The 22,844-nt window shown below is 37.3% G+C and overlaps 1 long non-coding RNA gene and 1 pseudogene across 3 annotated transcripts in view, besides 1 other annotated feature; one reads left to right on the top strand and one right to left on the bottom strand.

The window, feature by feature from the left end:
* Nucleotides 1–22,844, bottom strand: part of LOC105373999 (uncharacterized) — a 51,966-nt gene that overhangs the window by 28,276 nt on the left and 846 nt on the right. For 2 of the 3 annotated variants that reach the window (XR_001740814.2, XR_924259.2), the window contains exon 1: nucleotides 5,914–5,983. The exons of the other annotated variant lie outside the window; for it this stretch is intronic. This is a non-coding gene — a long non-coding RNA (uncharacterized LOC105373999). Of the gene's footprint in view, nucleotides 1–5,913; nucleotides 5,984–22,844 lie in introns of those variants that run through there. 3 annotated transcript variants of the gene reach the window in all.
* Nucleotides 655–1,156: an enhancer, noted in NCBI's record as "H3K27ac hESC enhancer chr3:98010491-98010992 (GRCh37/hg19 assembly coordinates)". NCBI's record gives its function as "activates a minimal SCP1, AML or CMV promoter by ChIP-STARR-seq in primed H9 embryonic stem cells {active_cell/tissue: H9 hESC(primed)}" and the evidence as "EXISTENCE:reporter gene assay evidence [ECO:0000049][PMID:30033119]".
* Nucleotides 20,921–21,848, top strand: OR5H8 (olfactory receptor family 5 subfamily H member 8 (gene/pseudogene); annotated as a pseudogene).

Consider the following 22,844-nt stretch of genomic DNA (forward strand, 5'->3'; position numbering starts at 1 on the left):
ATTTCAAATCCTTGCTAGAGTCATTTGGAGGAAATGAGGCTCTCTCGCTTTTTCAGTTTTCAGTGTTTCTGTGCTGATTCTTTCTTATCATTGTAGGCTTATCTAACTTCAATATTAGAGGTTGCTGACCTTTGGATGGGATTTTTGTGTTTTGTTGTTGTTTGTTTTTCTTTTAACAGTCTGGCCATTCTTCTGTAGGGCTGCTGCAGTTTGCTGGGTGGTCCACTCCAGACCCTAGTCACTGCAGTTTTTCTAGTACCTGGAGGTATCACCAGTGAAGGCTGCAAAATAGCAAAAATGGCAACCTTCCCCTTCCTCTGGGAGCTCTGTCCCAGGGGAATACTCACCTGTCGCCAGCCTGAACGCAACTGTAGGAGGTCTCACCCAGTCAGGAGGAACAGGATCAGGGACTTGCTTAAAGAAGCAGTCTAGCTGCGTTTTGGCAGAGCAGCTGTGCTGTGTTGGGGATCCCTTCAGCCCCTGATCACTCTGGGCTCTCCAAGGCCCGCAAGCTGGACTGGGTGAAAAGCCCATACAGCAAAGGCATTGGCTCGCCTTGTCCCCTGGGCAATCCATCCCAGGGAGAAATTAGAACTCTGTCAGCCGTAGAACATGGGTAGGGGTGGCTGGAGGCCCTGGCTGGGAGGATCCGCCCAGCAAAGAGGAATGGATCAGGGTCCCATTTAAAGAAGCAGCGTTGCCACACCTCAACATAAGAGCTGTGTCATGCTGGAGAACTGCCTCTGCCTCGATCAGCTTGGACTTTCCAAAGTCCACAGGCTGGAATGGCTGAGTTGTCCAAACAACAAAGGTGGCAGCTTGCCCTTCTGCCTAGGAAGTGTGTCCCAGGGAGAGATCAAAGCTCTGTCCAAAGAATATGGGCCAGCATGGCTTGAGGCCCTGGCTGGGAGGTTCCACTTAGTGAGGAGTAATGGATCGGGGTCCCACTTAAAGAAGTAGTCTGGCCATGTTTTGTTAAAGAAGCTGTGCTGTGCTGGGAAGTCTCTTCCTTGTCTGGACCCTTTGGACTCTCCAAAGCCTGCGGGCTGGAGTAGCTGAGTTGTCCAAACAGCAAAGATGGTGGCCTTCCCTTCCCTTCCTCTGGGGACTCTGTCCTGTCTCAGTCAGGCTCTACCCTATTGCCAGTGGCTGGCTGGAATTCCAAGCTAGTCTTATCTTGTGAGGTGCCATGGAAGTAGGGCCCACATACTGACGCTGATTGGCCCCCTGGATTCAGCTCCCTTCCTAGGGATATGTATGAACCTCCCACCTTGCCTGAGTTGCAGTAGGGAATCCCGGAGCCATTGTATGTAAAGCTCCTGGGTCTCTGTGTGTGCTTAAGCAGGTGCTCTGCTGAGACTCCACACAGCCCTGGGTGTCGGACCCAAGACCCTGGTGGAGTGGGCTCACAAGGGGATCTTCTGATCTGAGGGTTGCACTGTGACTTCCCAGGGTTGCACATTCACTCCCTGCTTCCCTTGGTTGGGAGGTGGGTATTCCCTTGGCGACATATCTCTATCACTCTTGGGAAGGCCATTGCCCTGCCCAGCTTTTCTTTATTCTTTGTGGGTTGAGTTGTTTCCCTGATCAGTTCCAGTGCAAGTACCTGAATATTCCAGTTGAAGGTGCTATATTCTCTTGATCCTTTCATTCCTCTCTGTGACTGCAACACACTGTAGCTGCTTCTAATCTGCCATCCTGGTCCCCTCCTTATTTATTCTTCTTACGCTATATTTGGCTTTATATTTATTGTCTTAAAGATCTTTTACATTACAAATCAGAAGTCCTACTATGTTTTCTTTCTTTTGCTATGGGAGACTCGATGGCTTACATACATGAAGCCCAAAATAAGTGCTTGTGAAATATTTGTGAAATCAAATAGAAACCAACAGTACAAATGCGTAGAATATAGTGAATTATTCTTGCTTTCCTTTTCACGAGGATTGACTCTTTGTATAGACTATGAAGAATATCATGGAGAAGCTATTCAATCTTAAAAATTGAAGGATATAAAACATATAAATGTTTTAAAAAATTCATTATTTTATATTTGCAGAGCTAGGCTCACAAAATTAGACCAGATCATTTGCCCTCTTTTTGTTCCCCAGAGAGGTGCCTGCTAAGTGGCAGGAAACAGAGCTAATGGATTACAGTATAGCTGCTTTTATTATTACTCCACAGAGAATCCATGTTATTGCATATGTTTATAGTTTATTGATTTTTATTGCTGTATAACATTCTTTATGTACTTATGGTTTTCAGTCAATTATCTATATTTTGCTTGTTTGTTCACTGTTATGACCCAAAGACAAGATTGATAATATTAATACAAGCACCTGGTGTCTCTTCTGCCATTTTAAAGGCCTAGTTCCGCAGTTGGCTTTTCTTTTAATGAAAAGGTAGAAAACAAACTATGAGTACATGGGCAGGATATATAGCATCACAAGTCTTATTTTAGGTGGGGTTGGGGGCGGGGGAAATGGAACAGGCAATTGGGAGCTCTGAAGAGCTCAGAATTTCCCTGCAGCCTTGTCCTGTACATTTCTAGTTAAAAAATGTATCTGCTCTGGCATTTCCTTCAGTATAATCCCAATTATTTTATGCCTTCAAGAAATTCACCAAAATTGATTGTCCATTGATATAATCTCATTCTCACTTGTGTTATAGATTTATTCCTTTTAGTACATTATTTTTGTATTTAGTGGGATATTAGAAAATAGATAAATTATACACTTGGGAAACCCCCCCATTTTGGACAAGATATTCTTCTGTATTTTTTAAAAAGAAATTATAGAAATATATATGTATTATTTAATGAGTATTTAGACATAAAGAATAATATCATATTGAAATTTCATATGTTGCCTATAACACTGCTCATGTTGGGTTGAAAGCACCCTATGGAACTACCAATAGCAGTAGAAATACTCTTTATTATGAAGATGTATTTTTTACTTAATCTTGACATTTAAGTATTCATAGATTTCTCTTTCTCTCTCTCTCTCTCTCTCTCTCTCTCTCTATATATATATATACATATACATATACATATATAGTCTCTCTGTGTCTCTCTATACATATTTGTTTACTTATTGTCTTATCTTCTACTGCTCATGAGACTGCTGACGAATTATCCTTTACTGTGCTCAAAGAAACAATATAATTAGAATTTAGGTAAATGCAAACAGCAATAAAAACTAGAACAGCATTACTATAAGCCTGGGAATTTGGAATTTCCAGCCTCCGCTTTTTCCTTTCCTCACTATTTTGACAGTTAGATGTAAAATTCAATAGGACATCTGTTGCAAAGGATGAAGTATTGTGGTGTTTTTAAAATACTTTTTCGTGGGAATTACTATTGACTGATGATATCCAATCAAAACTCTATTGTCTTATTTCAGTAAGGGTAACAGGAGGGACCTATGTTTATCGAAAAAAATGTGTAGCTGGGCAAGGACTTCATGTCTAAAACACCAACAGCAATGGCAACAAAAGCCAAACTTGACAAATGGAATCTAATTAAACTAAAGAGCTTCTGCACAGCAAAAGAAACTACCATCAGAGTGAACAGGCAACCTACAAAATAGGAGAAAATTTTCACAACCTGCTCATCTGACAAAGGGCTAATATCCAGAATCTACAATGAACTTAAACAAATTTACAAGAAAAAAACAAACAACCCCATCAAAAAGTGGGCAAAGGATATGAACAGACACTTCTCAAAAGAAGACATTTATGCAGCCAAAAGACACATGAAAAAATGCTCATCATCACTGGCCATCAGAGAAATGCAAATCAAAACCATAATGAGATACTATCTCACACCAGTTAGAATGGCAATCATTAAAAAGTCAGGAAACAACAGGTGCTGGAGAGGATGTGGAGAAATAGGAACACTTTTACACTGTTGGTGGGACTGTAAACTAGTTCAACCATTGTGGAAGTCAGTGTGGTCATTCCTCAGGGATCTAGAACTAGAAATACCATTTGACCCAGCCATCCCATTACTGGGTATATACCCAAAGGACTATAAATTATGCTGCTATAAAGACACATGCACACGTATGTTTATTGCGGCACTATTCACAATAGCAAAGACTTGGAACCAACCCAAATGTCCAACAATGATAGACTGGATTAAGCAAATGTGGCACATATACACCATAGAATACTGTGCAGCCATAAAAAATGATGAGTTCATGTCCTTTGTAGGGACATGGATGAAACTGGAAATCATCATTCTCAGTAAACTATCGCAAGGACAAAAAGCCAAATACCACATGTTCTCACTCATAGATGGGATTTGAACAATGAGAACACATGGACACAGGAAGGGGAACATCACACTCTGGGGACTGTTTTGGGGCTGAGGGAGGGGTGAGGGATAGCATTAGGAGATATACCTAATGCTAAATGATGAGTTAATGGGTGCAGCACACCAGCATGGCACATGTATACAAGTGTAACTAACCTGCACATTGTGCACATGTACCCTAAAACTTCAAGTATAATAATAATAAAAAATAAAAAAATTAAAAATAAAAATAAAAATAAACTAAAGGCAAAAAAAATGTGTAGCTGGAATCAAGCTTTGGAAGAATTTTCTCAAAACATTTAACCTACAGAGGAGGTGAAGCAAGATGGCTGAATAGAAGCCTCCAATGATCATTCTCCCCAAAGGAACACCAAATTCAACATCTATCTACATTAAAAAGACATCTTCAGGCCAGGAACAGTGGCTCACACCTGTAATCCCAGCACTTTGGGAGGCTGAGGTGGGCAGATCACGAGGTCAGGAGATCGAGACCATCCTGGCTAACACGGTGAAATCCCATCTGTACTAAAAATACAAAAAAAATTAGCCGGGCATGGTGGCGGGCAGCTGTAGTCCCAGTTACTCAGGAGGCTGAGGAAGGAAAATGGTGTGAACTCAGGAGGTAGAGCTTGCAGTGAGCCGAGATCGCACCACTGCATTCCAGCCTGGGCAACAGAGTGAGACTCCATCTCAAAAAAAAAAAAAAAAAAAAAAAAGAAAACAAACAAACAAACAAAAAGCCTTCATAAGAACCAAAATTCTGGTGAGTAATCACAGTATCTGGTTACAACTTCATATCATTAAAAGATGTGCTAAGGAGGGTAGGAAACACAGTTTTGAATTGCTGATGTCACCCCTCACATATCCTCTGGCAGCAGCACTATGGCAAGGAGAGAGGATACATGTGCTTAGGGGAGGGAGAGAACACTGATTGTGGGACTTTTCATTGGAACTCTGTGCTGGCCTGTCAGAGGGGAAAGCAACACCAGGCAGAACTCAGTGCCCACAGAGGAAACATTTAGACCAGTCATAGCCAGCACGGAATTGCTCATCCCAACAGTTGGTACCTGAGTTCTGGCAAGCCTCGACACTACAGTCTAAAGTGCTCTGTCACCTTAAATAAACTTGAAAGGCAGTCTAGGCCACAAGGACCATAATTCCTGGGCAAGTCCTACTGCTGTGTTAGGCTAAGAGCCAGTGGACCTGAGGGGCATGCAACCTAGTGAGAAACCAGCTGCGGTGACCAAGCAAGTGTTTGTGCCACTCCTCCCCCAACCCCAGGTTGTACATTCTTGCAGATCCAGGAATGACTGCAAATCCAGGAATCATTCCTTCCTTCCACTTGAGGAGCAGAAAGGAAAAAGTAAAGAGGACTTTGATCTGCAATTTGGATACCAGCTCAATCAGAGTAGGACAGGGCACCAGGAGGCCCCAGTTCCAGGTCCAAGTTCCTGGATGACATTTCTAGACACACCCTGGGCCAGAAAGGAACCTGCTGCCTTGAAGGGAAGAGCCCAGTCCTGGCAGGATTCATCCCTTGCTATTTAAAGTGCTCTTGGGCCCTGAATAGTCATCAGTGGTACCCAGGCAGTACTCACCATGGGCCTTGGGTAAGACTCAGAGATGTGCTGGTTTCAGATGTGACCCATTACATTCACAGCTGTGGTGGCTATAGTGGAACATTCGTTCTGCTTGAGGAAAAAAAACGGAAGAATAAAGGAGACTTTGTCTTGCAGCTTAGGTACCAGTTTGGCCACAGTGGGATAGAGTACTAAACAGGATCTTGTGGTCTCTGAGTCTAGGCTTTGGCTCTTGGATGGCATTTCTGGTCCTTTATCGGCCAGAGAGATACCCACTGCTCTGAAAGAGAGTCCCAGACTTGGCAGCATTCACCACAAGCTGACTAATGAGCCTTTGCGTTTGGATTGAACATTAGCAGTAGCCAGGCAGTACTCATCATGGGACTGGGGCAGTAGTAGCCATGAGGAGAGACACCTCTAATTGTAGAAAGGAAAGAGAATAGTGATAAAGACTTTGTCTTGTGGCTTGGGTGCAAGTTCAGCCACAGAACAGAGAACCAGGTAAATTCTTACGGTTTCTGACTTTAGGTTCTGGCTCCCACATAGCATCTATGAATCCACCTGTGGATGAGGGAAACTCACTGCCCTGAAGGGAAGGAAAGAATACTGGAGGGCTTTGCCACCTGCTCTTTGTAAAGCTCTAAGGCCTTGAGTGAACATAGGCAGTAGTCAGGTAGTGGTTACCATGGGCCTTGGGTATGACCCAGTGCTGTGCTGGCTTCAGTTCTAACCCAGCACAGCCCCAGTAGTGTATGGCACCCAAACCCCAGCTTCAGGCAGCTCAGCAGAGTGACAGAGACACCATTTGTTTTGGAGAAAGTAAGGGAAGAGAACAAGAGTCTCTACCAGATAACCCCGGGAATTCTTCCAGATCTTATCCAAGACCACCAAGGTTTTACCTCTTTGTGAGAACCACAGTGTTACTTGGCTTGGATTGCCTCCTAATACAGATATGGCTGTAGTGACCAAAAACTTACATTAAAACACCCAAGTTCCTTCAAATACCCATAAAGTCTTCCCAAGAAGGATGGGTACAAATAAGCCCAGACTGCAAAGACAATAATAAATACCAGACATTGAAAGACATCCACAAGCTTCAAGACAATCCAGAAAATCATGACCTACCAAATGAACTAAGTAAGACACCAGGAATCCATCCATGAGAAGCAGAGATATGTGACCTTTCAAACAGTGAATTCAAAATAGCTGCTTTGAGGAAACTCCACGAATTTTGAGATAACACACAAAAAAAGAACTCAGAATCCCGTCAGATAAATTTAACAAAGCGACTGAAATAATTTAAAAGAATCAAGCAGAAATTCTGGAGTTGAAAAATGCAATTGAAATAAATAGAACTGATCAAGCATAAGAAAGTATTAGTGAGCTTGAAGACAGGATATTTGAAAATACACCATCAGAGGAGATGAAAGAAAAAAAAATACAAAAGAATGAAGCATGCCTAAAAGATGTAGAAAATAGCCTTAAAAGAGAAAATCTAAGAGGTATTGGCCTTAAGGAGTAGATAAAAAGAGAGATGGGGTAGAAAGTTTATTCAAAGGGATAATAACAGAGAACTTCTCAAACCTACAGAAAGATATCAATATCCAAGTACAAGAAGGTTATAGAACACCAAATATATTTAACCTAAAGAAGCCTACCTAAAGACATTTAGCAATCAAACTCCCTAAGGTCAAAAATAAAGAAAGAATTCTAAAAGCAGCAAGAGAAAATTAAAAAAAATAACATACAATGGAGCTCCGATATGTCTTGCAAAAGACTTTTCAGTAGAAACCTTACAGGCCAGGAGAGAGTGGCATGACATACTTGAAGTGCTGAAGAAAAAAACTTTTATCTTAGAATAATACAAACAGTGAAGATATCCTTCAAACATGAAGGAGAAATAACGATTTTCCCAGACAAACAAAAGTTGAGGGAGTTCACCAACATCAGACCTGTCCTATAATAAATGCTAAAGGGAGTTCTTCAATCTGACGGAAAAGAACATTAATGAGCAATAAGAAATAATGTGAAGATGCAAGACTCACTGGTAATAGTAAGTACACAGAGAAACAGAACAACACTGTAATTGTGGCATATAAATTACCCACATCTTGAATAGAAAGACTAAATATGAAGTGATCAATAATCAAAACTACAACTTTTCAAGCATAGACAGTACAATAAGATACAGATAGAAACAATAAAAAATTGAAAAGTGGGGAGATAAAGTTAAAGTGAATTGTATTTGTTTATCTTTGTTGATTTGTTTGTTTGCCTATGCAATCAGTGTTAATTTATCATTAGTTTAAAGTAATGGGTTATAAGATAGTATTGGCAAGCTTCATGGCAATCTCAAATCACAAAACCTTCACCAGATACACAAAAAAATAAAAATCAAGAAATTAAAACATGCCACCAAAGAAAAATCACCTTCACTAAATGGAAAACAAGAAGGAAGAAAAGAAGAGAAGACAGAATACCACCAAAAAAACCAGAAAACAAATAACAAAATGGCAAGAGTAAGACCTTACTGATGAACAATAACATGGAATATAAATAGACTAAACTCTCCAATCAAAAGATATATAGTGGCTGAATAGATTTTTTTAAAAAGACCCAATGATTTGTTGCATACAGGAAACACACCTCACCTATAAAGACACACATAGATTGAAAATAATGGGATGGAAAAAGATGTTGCATGCAAATGGAAACAAAAAAAAAGGAGGAATAGCTATACTTATATCAGACAACATAGATTTTAAGGCAAAAAGTATAAAAGGGCACTAAGAAGGTTATGTGATTATAAAGAGGTCAACTCAGCAATAAGATATAATTATTGTAAATATATATGCAGTCAACACTAGAGCACCCAGATATATAAAGCAAATATTACTAGAGCTGAAGAGAGATAGACCCCAATACAATAATAGCTGGAGACTTCAACATCCCACTTTCAGCATTGGACAGGTCTTTCAGACACAAAATCAACAAAGAAACATTAAATGTGATTTGCCCTATAGACCAAATGGACCTAATAGATATTTGCAGAACATTTCATCCAACAGTTGCAGAATACACATTATTCTCCTATGCACATAGATCGCTCTCAAGGATAGACTATATGTTATGGCACAAAACAAGTCTCAAAGAATTAAAAAAAAAAGAAATATCAAGTATCATCTCTTAACATAATGGAATAAAATTAGAAGTCAATAACAAGAGGAACTCTGGAAACTATGCAAGCACATAGAAATTAAACAATATGTACCTGAATGACCAGTAAGTCAATGAAGAAAACTGAAAATTTTCTTGAAACAAACAAAAATGAAAATGCAACATATACCAAAACCTATAGGATGCAGCAAAATTGGTACTAAGAAAGTTTATAGCCATAAGTGTCTACATACAAAAACATAGATAAACTTCAAATAAACAACAGAACAATGCATCCTAAAGAATTAGAAAAGCAAGAGCAAACCAAATCCAAAATTAGTAGAAGGAAATAAACAATAAAAATTAGAGCAGAAATAAATGAAAAAGAAAAAAGGAAAACAATACAAAAATCAAGGAAATGAGAAGTTGGTTTTATAGAAGGATAAACAAAATTGACAAACCATTAGCCAGACTACCTAAGAAAAAAAGACGAAAACCCAAATAAATAAAATCAGAGATAAAAAAGGAGACATTACAATTGATACCACAGAAACGCAAATGATTATTAGGGACTACTATGAGTAACCATATGTAAATAAATTTGAAAATGTAGAAGAAATGGATAAAATCCTAGATGCCACCTCCCCAGATTGAACCATGCAGAAATCCAAAACCTGATCAGACCAATAACAAGTAAGGAGACTGAAGCTTTAATAAGAAGTCTCCAAACAAGGAAAAACCCGTCAGATAAATTTAACAAACAGACTGAAATAATTTAAAAGAATCAGGCAGAAATTCTGGAGCTGAAAGATGCAATTGAAATAATAAAGATTACGTCAGAATCTCTTAATAGCAGAACTGATCGAGCATAAGAAAGTATTAGTGAGCTTGAAGATGGGATATTTGAAAACATACAGTCAATTGGCTTCATTGCTGAATTTTACCAAATATCTAAAGAATAACTTAACATCAATCCTCCTAAAACTATCCCAAAAAATAGAGCTGGGAGGAATACTCATTCTACAAGGCCAGTATTACTTTGCTACCAAAGACATATCAAAAAAAGACTACAGGCCAATATTCCTGATGAGCATTCATGCAAAAATCCACAAAATAGTAGCAAGCCAAATTCAACATCACATTAAAAAAATCATTCATCATGACCAAGTTGGATTTATCCCAGGGATGTAAGGATGGTTTGGCATATGCATATCAATCAGTGTGATACATCATATCAACAGAATAAAAGACAAAACCCATATGATCATTTGAATTGATGCAGAAAAAACATTTGATAAAATTCAATACCCCTTTATGATAAAAACCCTCAAAAAACTGGATATAGAAGAAACATATCTCAACATAATAAAAGCCATAGATGAAAGACCCACAGCTATTATCATACTAAATGGGGAATAATAAAAGCCTTTTTTCTAATATCTGGAAAATGACAGGGATGTCCACTTTTACCACTTTTAGTCAACATGGTACTAGAAGTCTAGCTAGAGCAATCAGACAAGAGAAAGAAATAAAGGGTATCCAAATTGGAAAGGAAGAAGTCAAATTATTCTTGTTTGCAGATGATATGATCTTATATTTGGATGAACCTAAAGACTCTGCCAAAAAACTATGAGAACTCATCAACAAATTCAATAAAGTTGCAGGATACAAAATCAACATACAAAAAATCAGTAGCATTTCTATATACCAACAGTGAACAATCTGAAAAAAAATAAAAAATTAATTCCATTTACAATAGCCACACATAAAATTTTATACCTAGGAATTAACTTCACCAAAAAAGTGAAAGATCTCTGTAATGAAAACTATAAAACACTGATGAAAGAAATTGAAGATGACACCAAAAAATGGAAATATATTCCATGTTCATGGGTTGGAAGAATCAATATTGTTAAAATTGTCTATACTACCTAAAGCAAACTACAGATTCAATGCAATGCCTATCAAAATAGCAATGACATTCTTCACAGGAATAGAAAAAATCAATCCTAACATTTGAATGGAACTAAAAAAGACTCAGAATATACAAAGCTATCCTGAGCAAAAAAGAACAAAACTGGAAGAATCACAGTAACTGACTTCAAATTATACTACAGAGCTATAATAACCAAAACAGCATGGTACTAGCATAAAAATACTCACATAGACCAATGGAACAGAATAGAGAACCCAGAAACAAATTCATACATCTATGTACAATGAGCTCATTTTCAAAAAAGGTGCCAAACACATACATTGAGGAAAGGATAGTCTCTTCAATAAATGGTGCTGGGAAAACTGGATATTCATATGCAGAAATTGAAACTAGACCTCTGTCTCTCACCATATACAAAAGTCAAAATGGACTGAAGACTGAACTAGAATACCTGAAACTATGAAACTACTACAAGAAAACAATGGGCAGCACATTGGACTGGGCAAAGAGTTCTTGAGTAATACCCCAAAAGCAGAGGCAATCAAAGCAAAAATGGATAAACAGAATCATATCAAGTTAGGAAGCTTCTGCACAGCAAACAATCAAAAAAGTGAAGAGACAACCCACAGAATGGGAGAAAATATTTGCAAACTACCCATCTGACAAAGTATTAATTATCAGAATACATAAGAAACCCAAACAACTAATAGGAAAAAAATCTAATAACCTGATTAAAAATCGGCAAAAGATATGATAGACATTTCTCAAAAGAAGACATACAAATCACTAACAGGTATATGAAAAGATGGTCAATATCAATGATCGTCAGAGAAATACAAATCAAAACTACAAGGAGATAACATCTTACTCCAGTTAAAATGGCTTATATCCAAATGATAGGCAATGAGAAATGCTGGTTAGTGTGTGTAGAAAAGGAAACTGCCATATACTGTTATTGGGAATGTAAATTAATACAAGCAGTGTGAGATAGCTTGGAGGTTCCTCAAGAAAATAAAAATAGAACTACCATATGACCCAGCAATCCCACTGCTAGGTATATAGCCAAAAAAAAAAAAAAAAAAAAAAAGGAAAGAAAGAAAAGAAAAGCAGTATATAGAAGAGATATCTGCACTCCCATGTTTATTGCAGCACTATTCACAATAGTCAAGATTTGCAACCTAAGTGTCCATTGACAGATGAATGGATAAAGCAAATGTGCTACATATACACAAAGGAGTACTATTCAGCCATTAAAAAGTATGCTCCTTTCATTTGCAACAACATGTATAAAACTGGAGGTCTTTATGTTAAGTAAAATAAGTCAGGCACAGAAAGACAAACTTTGCATGTTCTCACTTATTTGTGGGAGCTAAAAATTAAAACGTTGAACTCATGGAGATAGAGTAGAAGAATGTCTACCAGAGGTTGGTGAGGATAGTAGGCAGGAAGGAGTGGTTATGGTTAATGGGTACAAAAATATAGTTAAGTAGAATGAATAAGATGTAGTATTTGATAGCACAACATTGTGACTGCAGTCAACAATAACTTATTGTACATTTAAAAATAACAGAGTATAATCGGATTGTTTGTAACACAAAGAAAGAATAAATGCTTGAGGCAATTGAAAACCCATTTACCCTGATCTGATTATTATGAATTGTATGCCTCTGTTAAAATATCTCATGTACCCAACAAATATATACCACCTACTACGTACCCACAAAATTATTTTAAAATTTTTTAAAAGTTCATCTATAAGATGTGCACTTGCTATAATGGTATGATATTTACCACATCTACTAAAGTACCTTCTACATGAGACTTATATGAGGGCAATAGATAATGGTAACATCATGATATCCCCTTTATCCTTCTAGGTAGTTTGCACAGCAGCCTAGACCTGTTGCAGAGCCTTCTTGTATTCTGAGCCTCAATCAAACCAGCAACTTGTTGGGTTATTGGTTAAATGGGCCAGAGTAACTCACTCCAATTAGGAACATGTTGTCTCCAAAATTCAAAGAACCTATTAAGGCTTTATGCCTCTTTCTAGCCTGCAGGATAGGTTCGATGGAACAACTTTTCCTTCACTTTAGAAGAGATAGCTCAACATGCCCCACACCACTGGATCCCTAGAAATTTCACTGAAATAGAAAGTCCCTGAATATTTGTGAAATTTATTTCCAACTCTCTGGCATGCAAATATATTACCAATAAGTCTTGAGTAGTTGCTATTTCTTGCTTAATAGGACAATCAGCATGTCATCAGAATAATCAGCACAATGTCATCAGTATATCATCAGTGGAATATGTCGTGGAAAAGAAAGAGGATCAAGTTCCCGAATATTTGCAACTCATATATCCGACAAAAGAATTGTATCCAGAATATACAGCAAGCTCTCAAAATCAATGAAAAGAAACCTAATAACCCAATTTTATTAAATAAGCAAAATATTTTAACAGAAGAAACTTCACCAAAAATAATACAGATATGCCAAATAAGGTCATAAATACATGCTGGATCATTAGTCATCTTGGAAATGCAAATTAAAACCTCAATGAGATGCTATGAGCCACATATTTAAATTAACAAAATTGAAAAGATTATTTATACTGAAAACAATGATGCAGACTTCTGTTAGTAAAAACTAGGAAACAAGTTGGGAGATAATTACATAACATTTAAAGGGGTAGTCAATTTAAGTCAAATTTTGGTTGGGTGAATAGCTAACTCGGCACATCATATTGTTTACTCAACCTTTCTGCGGCGCATTCACAGTTACTTTGCTTCTATATAGGCAATTTTCTTCTGTATATTTTTTTCACTAGAAAAATTCTAAGAAAGTCAGATAATTGATTAATAAACCTACCAAAAGTTATGCCCTTTGCTTTCTCCCATCTTGCTGGTGGAGATTAAAGTTTTTAAAAAGTTAATGTGTAGGTAGTTACTTATCACTATTCAGATATCAAATCTAAATGCCAAAAATAAGGACATTTTTACTTTTCTGAATAAATGCTCATTGACAAATTTCTATGTTAATTCTCAAAAAGAAAATCTGAACGTATTACTACCACAATTACAATCTCTCAATAGTTTTCCTCCAAATTGAGATTAAAGAACAAAGTCTGTGACCTAGTCTCCAAACCCTGTGCAATCCCACTCATACTGCTTCTTTGGCCACATTTGGCTCCTTCCTGCTTCTCTCTTTGATTGCCAGCCACATCTGTCATTTTTTGTTTCCCCAGTGATATAGGTTCTCTTATAATCTAGGCCCTCCAATGATGAATGTTATGTGGAAGGCAAGTGTCCACAGGCATCACTCAGACAGGAAGACTGCTTTTTTTTTTTCTTTCTTTCTTTCTTTTTGAGACAGGGTCTCACTCTGTAGCCCAGGCCATCTCGGTTCACTGCAACCTCCGCCTCCTGGATTCAAGCAATTCTTGTGTCTCAGCCTCTCAAGTAGCTGGAATTACAGGCAAGCACCATCACACCCAGCTAATTTTTTCTTTTCTTTTTTTTTTTGAGATGGAGTTTCACTCTGGTTGCCCAGGCTGGAGTGCAATGGCACAATCTTGGCTCACCACAACTTCCGCCTCTCGGGTTCAATTGATTCTCCTGCCTCAGCCTCCCGAGTAGCTGGGATTACAGACATGCGCCACCATGCCCAGCTACTTTTTTGCATTTTTAGTAGAGACAGGGTTTCTCCATGTTGGTCAGGCTTGTCTCGAGCTCCTGACCTCAGGTGATCCGCCCGCTTTGGCCTCTCAAAGTGCTGGAATTACAGGCGTGAGCCACCATGCCCCACCTTTTTTTTTTTCTTTTTCTTTTTCTTTTTTTTTTTTTTTGGTGTTTTTAGTACAGGAGTTTCACCATGTTAGCCAGGCTAGTCTCATATGGTCTCAAATGATCCGTCCGCCTCAGCCTCCCAAAGTGCTGGGATTACAGGCGTGAGTCACCGCGCAGGCCTAAACAAGATGACTCTTGAGCCCCACCTCAGAACTACTGAAACAGAATTTGCATTTTAACAGTGTCTCCAGGAAATTCATAGGCATTGAAATTTGGGAAGCACAGATCTATGCTCCCTCCACAGAGGTCCTTTGTCTTTTATTTTCTTTGCTCCTCCCCCTAACTTTTGCCTAGAAAAATTTCTCCTCAGACTTTTGGGGAGCTAAGTATATTTGGGGAGCTAGGTATATTTAGGTAAACTTGGGGAGCTAGGTATATGTCTGGAATTTGAGCTGCAGTTTGCATGAGGAGGACAACTTGGTGTTTGCTTCTGAAAGGAATTTAGATCTTTGGTTTTATTAAAATCATGTTTTAATTAACTCAGATGAGACCATACTAACCAAAGAACTCAGAGCATCAAATTATGTAAGTAAACCAAAGTTTGTACAAATATGTCAGTAGTGTCATCTGTGGTTAAAAAAAAAAAAAAAAGGCATAAAGTATAATTTCAATTCTTAAAACTAGAACTGTCTACAGTAACTTGATGTTTATGATTCTAAAGTCTGTAATCCCCTGTGGAACAATCTGAACTTTTCATACATGTCCAATCCTACAATGCCCAGTAGAACCCCTAACTTTGTCCTTAAGGGGATCCTCAAGCTCTCTTGGGACAATTTCAGTTCTCCACTTTTTCCTGTTTTGGCAAAAGTGCACAGTTGTACAATTAGTTGACTTGGTGTTCAAGGAAAATTTATACACACGTTTCTTCAACTTGGGAAATAAAACCTCTGAAACGAATCAGGGTGCCACGATTTCTACTTATGTTTTTGTCATTTTAGTGCTATAATTATGTTTATTTCTACTTTAGAAAACCTAACACCTTTAAAGGATCTCCACAATTTCCTCCAATAAATGGGTAAGAGTAAAATGATTTCTATAGTATTTATTATTCTTTAGGTAGAAAGTTTAAAATTTGTTTAATAATAATTTAAGATTAGGTTTATAAGATGTCAGAATAGGTAGATATGAAAAGTATTAGTGAATTATCTGCACACTTTATTTTTTTTATTTTTTTGCATACTTTATTTTTACAATTAAAGTCTGTTCCCTACTTCTCTAGTAGTTAGAAAATAAAAATAATTAATAAAGCCTCAACAAGCAAAATAGCTGTAATACTGATTTGCTCCCTTCAGTGATGTTTTATTACCTTGTTAACCTAATTATAGTGACTTTATAAGGTAAGTTTTGGTGAACCAGAACAACTTAAAATTAAGTTTAAAGATTCAATTATAATGATCACTATATAAGATATCCTTTTGTCGATTCTGATAAAATAATCTATTGTTTAATTAAATACATGTTATGATTAAAACTTTTAAGGTGTCACTTAATACTTAGTTTTTTACCCACTTTTGCAAATAATTTCACTATTTATATTTATTTATGTGCAGAAAATACATAAAAATGCAGAAAAATGTCCCACCAATGTTTGCTTTTTCCATATTTATGACTTAAAAAGTATCCACACACAAATAGAATTAGAGATTTTCAATTATTTTTCTATTGAGATTGCATGAATGGGGCCCAATTTGATTTAATTTAATTTAATTCAAAATTAAAATACATCTAAAAATCACTGAAATTATTGTTGTTGGCTATTTTTATAGCCTGTTTCAGGTTGCAGTCTTGGCTCAATATTATCTTGCTTAAAAAAAATTGTTGGAGAAGAAAGTGCTCTCAAGTAAAGCCAGCAGAATTCCTAAAGTCAGTTCTAACCACTAGAATAACAAAGACAAAATGACTTATATACAGAAAGAACTTTTAGACAGTGCTAGTGTATCTATGAATAATACAAAGTTTGTAAGTAAAATTTAAAATTGGATCTTGTTTTCATACAAAAAGACCATATGAAACTAAAGTTTGAATTTTGAGTAACAGTAAAGAAAAGATTCCTAGAATTCACATCTAATTCACATCTTTTAATGAACTTTAGGGTTAAAACATCTATTTACCTCCAATCCTCTGTCTTTCTCTGATACTTCCTCTCTTCCTATTCTTCGGCTTTCCAACACTCAGCTTTCCAGTTTCTTTTCTGCTTCTCTTGTCTTTTCTACATTCATTCATATATGCCTTTTTTGTTTTCTATTTTTCTCTTTTTTATTTTCTTTTCACTACCCAGATTTTCTTTTCCACTTCTCTGGTTCCTTTCCTCCTCTCCTTGCCTTCCTTTCTTCTCCTTGCTTTTGAAAACTTTTATTAAAAAGGCTTACAGAAAATGTCTATTTTTAAGTTCAGGGGTGCATGTGCAGGTTTTTTACATAGGTAAACTTGTATCATTTGGGTTTGTTGTACAGATTATTTCATCACCCAGGTATTAAGCCTAGTACCCATTAGTTATTATATTTTTCCAGATCCTCTCCCTCCTCTAACCCTCCACCCTGTGACAGGCCCCAGTGTGTGTTGTTCTCCTCTATGTGTCCGTGTGTTCTCATGATTTAGCTCCCGCTTGTAAGTGAGCATATGAAGTATTTGGTTTTTGGTTCCTGTGTTAGTTTACTAAGGATAATGGCCTCCAGTTCCATCCATGTCACTGCAAAGGACATGATCTCCTTCTTTTTTATGGCTGTATAGTATTCCATCATGTATATGTATCACATTTTCTTTATCCAGTCTATGATTGATGGACTGGATTCCGTCATTGATTCCATATCTTTGATATTGTGAACAGTGCTGCAGTGGGCACACACAGGCATGTGTCTTTATAGTAGAACAATTTATATTCCTTTGGGTACATACCCAGTAATGAGATTGTTAGGTTGAATGATATTTCTCTGTCTTTAGGTTTTTGAGGAATCACCACTGTGTCTTCAACAATGGTTGGACTAATTTATTTACATTTCTACAACAGTAGGCAAATGGCAAATGTTGTTCACATTACTTGGAGTGCAGTGCTGTAGTTCATTCCCCTCATTTGTTGTGCCATTTGTTTCCCATTCACTTCTTATTTTTTTCTGACTTTAATTCTATCAGAAAATGCAAACTGCTCTCACTGAAGCCACTAAAAATCTCTAATTTCCACAATCAGTGATCTCTATTCATATTTAGTCCAACCAGAGCATTTCTTCTGGCATTTTGCCCTGTACTTTGTCCTTCTTGAGTATATTTCCTATCTTTATGTCTACAACATTCAGCTTTCCAGTTTCCCTCCTGCTTCTTTGATCACTCTGCTCAGTATTTTTTTCTGACATCGCCCTTGTCTCTTTGTTTGAGCCAGGACTCTTGGTTGCATTGGGCAATGAGTTTATTGAACGGAAAGCTATGTAAAATAGAAATGCCAGGGAAATTGGAAGAATCAGCTGTAAAAATGGGCAGGAACAGAATGAAGTAAGACAGCCAGTCAACAGCCCAAATTATGGCCCAACGCTAGCTCAACAGAAGCTCCCATTGTCATGGTTGAAATTTCAAATGCCACAGCTCACACTGTCAGTTCCATTGTTGTGTGCAGATGCTTTTGTCAGGGTCTTGATATTGCTGCTTTGGCTGCTTTTGCATCAGACATTCTCTTTGATCCCTGTTCCTTTGTTTCCCACCTCCCAAATTCCAAATCTATGTTGGTGGGTTTGGCTGGCCAAACCTACTCAAGTAGCCTCATTCTAGGTGCAAGAAGGATGGAAAAGTAAGTTTCTAGCTCTAGAATGGGTAGTATTCTCTCTCGGCCACCAAGATTCATGTGGTAGAAAAGAGGACCAGGGGCTGGCCATCTAATAAATGACATGTAAATTGGATACGCTTTATAACCTGTTTAACGTAATTTAAATGTATTGCCTCTCTGATCCTCTTTTATGTTTGATACACTCTCCAATGCATAGGACATCTATAACTATGCCTTAAACTACCCCCAATGCCTCTCATATCATTATTTTTATTAAGTTCTAGTAGAGTCACATCTCTAAGCACACCTCACCTGGATGTTCAGTGAATGCTTCTTCCACATATCTGCCAACGAACCTGAGTTCTGAATCTCATTTTGAATCACCAAATGACTCCTCTTTATTTCAGTGACTATTCTCTTCCCATCTAATATGTCATGGAGCCCTGTTGACTCTACATTCTGAGTTCTTTTCAATCTATTTCTTTGTCTTCATCATCACTTCCTTATCACACATGAAGTAGGTACTTTGCCTGCATTTGAATCACATGAATAGCATTTTCTTAAAAATACATATTCCTAGACCTCATTCTTGAACTACAGAGTTTGTTAGTAATCCCTCATGTCCTATATTTTGGTAAGAAAGTTCCCCAGACAATTCTGATATGTAATCTGGCTTGGTATTCCTTTGCAATAGAAACAGCTTCTGGATTAGTATCTCTGACTGCAGGTTCCCTTCCTTGCAGCCTATTTTCTATAACACCAATTATTTAACTTAAAATACATCTTACATGCCACTGTCTGTCTTAGAATTTTAAATTCCTGACTATTTCCTGAAGAATAAAGTTCAAAGTCCTTCACATGGCTTTTAACTCTTTTTGTGTTTCTGACCTTACAAAGATCTTTTCCCTTGACCTTGTTTCCATGTATCAGACACAGAAATTTTGTACCATCCTCCAGTGTCCACATAAATTAATCACATCTATAGAATGACTCTCTTTTTGCTTAAATATGTTTATTCATGCACATTCTATTATCAGGCAAAATTCACCCCCGATATTTCATGTAGGTTCTTTTCTATTTTCCCTACATGTTGGCCAGTCTGAGAAATAAAGGGACAGAGTACAAAAGAGAGAAATTTTAAAGCTGGGTGTCCAAGGGAGACATCACATGTCGGCAGGTTCCGTGATGTCCCCTGAGCCAAGCCGTAAAACCAGCAAGATTTCATTAGTGATTTTCAGAAAGGAGAGGGAGTGTACGAACAGGGTGTGGGTCACAGAGATCACATGCTTCACAAGGTAATAAGATATCACAAGGTAAATGGAGGCAGGGGGAGATCACAGGACCACAGGACCAGGGCGAAATTAAAATTACTAATGAAGTTTTGGGCACGCATTGTCATTGATAACATCTTATCAGGAGACAGGGTTTGAGAGCAGACAACCGGTCTGACCAAAATTTATTAGGCGGGAATTTCCTTGTCCTAATACACCTGGGAGCGCTATGGGAGACAGGGGCTTATTTCATCCCACAGCTGCGACTGTAAAAGACAGCCGCCCCCCAAAGAGGCCATTTTAAAGGCCTCCCCTCAGGGATGCATTCTCTTTCTCAGGGATGTTCCTTGCTGAGAAAAAGAATTCAGCGATATTTCCCCCATTTGCTTTTGAAAGAAGAGAAATATGGATCTGTTCCGCCCGGCTCACTGGCAGTCAGAGTTTAAGGTTATCTCTCTTGTTCCCTGAACATTGCTGTTATCCTGTTCTTTTTTCATGGTGCCCAGATTTCATATTGTTCAAACACACATGCTCTACAAACAATTTGTGCAGTTAACGCAATCATCACAGGGTCCTGAGGTGACATACATCCTCCTCAGCATTCGAAGATGATGGGATTAAGAGATTAAAGTAAAGACAGGCATAGGAAATCACAAGGGTATTGATTGGAGAAGTGATAAGTGTCCATGAAATCTTCACAATTTATGTTCAGAGATTGCAGTAAAGACAGGCATAAGAAATTATAAAAGTATTAATTTGAGGAACTAATAAATGTCCATGAAATCTTCACAATTAATGTTCTTCTACCATGGCTTCAGCTGGTCCCTCCATTCAGGGTCCTTGACTTCCCGCAACATTCTATAAACTCAAATAATTGCATTTTTCCACCTCTTCAGTTCCCCTACTATAGTTTTCATTAGCACAGTGTAATAAATGCATGAATAGGACATTCTGATGAGTGTATGATTTTATTTTAACTCCTCTCCTCCAGTATTCACTTTATAAATTCTTATTGAATATTCTTTTTATATTTATTTCAGTTCACTCAGGGTACATCCAATGAGGACATGGATGACGAAAATGCAACATTGCTGACAGAGTTTGTTCTCACAGGACTTACATATCAATCAGAGTGGAAAATACCCCTGTTCCTGGCATTCTTGGTAATATATCTCATCACCATCATGGCAAATCTTGGTCTGATTGCTGTCATCTGGAAAGACTCACACCTTCACATTCCAATGTACTTATTCCTTGGGAGTTTAGCCTTTGTGGATGCTTGGTTATCATCCTCAGTGACCCCTAAGATGCTGATCAGCTTTTTAGCTAAGAGTATGATTATTTCTGTCTCTGAATGCAAGATACAATTTTTTTCCTTTGGAATCAGTGGAACCACAGAATGTTTTCTCTTGGCAACAATGGCATATGATCGCTATGTAGCCATATGCAAACCTTTACTTTATCCAGTCATTATGACCAATGGACTGTGTATCTGGCTATTAGTCTTGTCATTTATAGGTGGCTTTCTTCATGCCTTAATTCATGAAGGTATTTTATTCAGATTAACCTTCTGTAATTCCAACATAATACATCACTTTTACTGTGACATTATCCCATTGTTAAAGATTTCCTGTACTGACCCTTCTATTAATTTTTTAATGCTTTTTATTTTGTCTGGTTCAATACAGGTATTCACTATTTTGACTGTTCTTGTCTCTTATACATTTGTCCTCTTTACAATCTTAAAAAAAAAAGTCTGCCAAAGACATAAGGAAAGCCTTTTCCACCTGTGGAGCCCATCTCTTATCTGTTTCTTTATACTATGGCCCCCTTCTCTTCATGTATGTGCACCCTGCATCTCCACAAGCAGATGATCAAGATATGGTGGAGTCTCTATTTTACACTGTCATAATTCCTTTCTTAAATCCCATTATCTACAGCCTGAGAAATAAGCAAGTCATAGATTCACTGACAAAAACATTAAAAGGAAATGTTTAGATCTCATACTGGAATGTATTCTCTATTTAAAGTCACATAATCATGCAGGCTAGATGTCAGTATATGTTAGTGTATGTTTAAAGTTTTTTGCAGTTACAATTGTCCTAACTTTTTAACGACTCAAGTCATTAGTATCTAATGAATTCTTTAAGATATTTGTATATATTATTGAAAAGCATACAAGAAAATTTTGTCAACTGTTCATGACATACTAGATTAGAGCAGAAAAAAAAAACATTTTACAGGTTTCTTGCTCTTCAATGTGGCTTTATAAACGGATCAAGTGCTACAATAGTAGATCCTTTAATAACAACTTGAGTATGATGTCTTTGTTACTAATACAGGTTTATAAACTGGAGATTCATAGCACAATTCCTCCATAGAACAAGTTTGTGTTTGCATGAGCCCAAACAAATCTCATGAATTCAGCTAACCATCACAAAGTGTTTTATTCCACTTTATTGGGAAATGGTTAATTTCTTCTCTTGTAGAGATTCAATTCACATATCATAGACAGAAATGAACAGAAATAGGAAACTATGAGAGGATTCTCTTAGTTCAGTGTGCTTCTGTGAGTGAGGAGAGGCCAGTTGCTTCTCCCTGTTTGTGATGCCTTCTAAGATCATTTCCAGCTGTGTTTGTATGTTTGTTGGCAGTCTGAAAACCTTTACTAATTCGGAAAGCTAACACATTAGACTTAATAATTAAGTTGAGTGCAGAGAAAAAAAAAAAAAAACAGAAGTGGTAGAATAAGAATTAAATGGTCTAAATTTTCCCTGAATTAAAAAGAAAGGAACCTTGTAAGATCAAGAAATCAGTGATATTTATAGGTTATATTACAAGGAATATACTGTAATTATATTACATGTAATTATAATGTAATTATATTGTAATGTAATTATAATGTAATTATATTCCTTAACAATGAGTGACTTTATGCCTTTGCAGGGACATGGATGGAGCTGGAGGCCATTATCCTTAGCAAACTAACAC

The sequence above is a fragment of the Homo sapiens genome, chromosome 3 (genome assembly GCF_000001405.40).
Source record: "Homo sapiens chromosome 3, GRCh38.p14 Primary Assembly".
Lineage (NCBI taxonomy): Eukaryota > Metazoa > Chordata > Mammalia > Primates > Hominidae > Homo > Homo sapiens.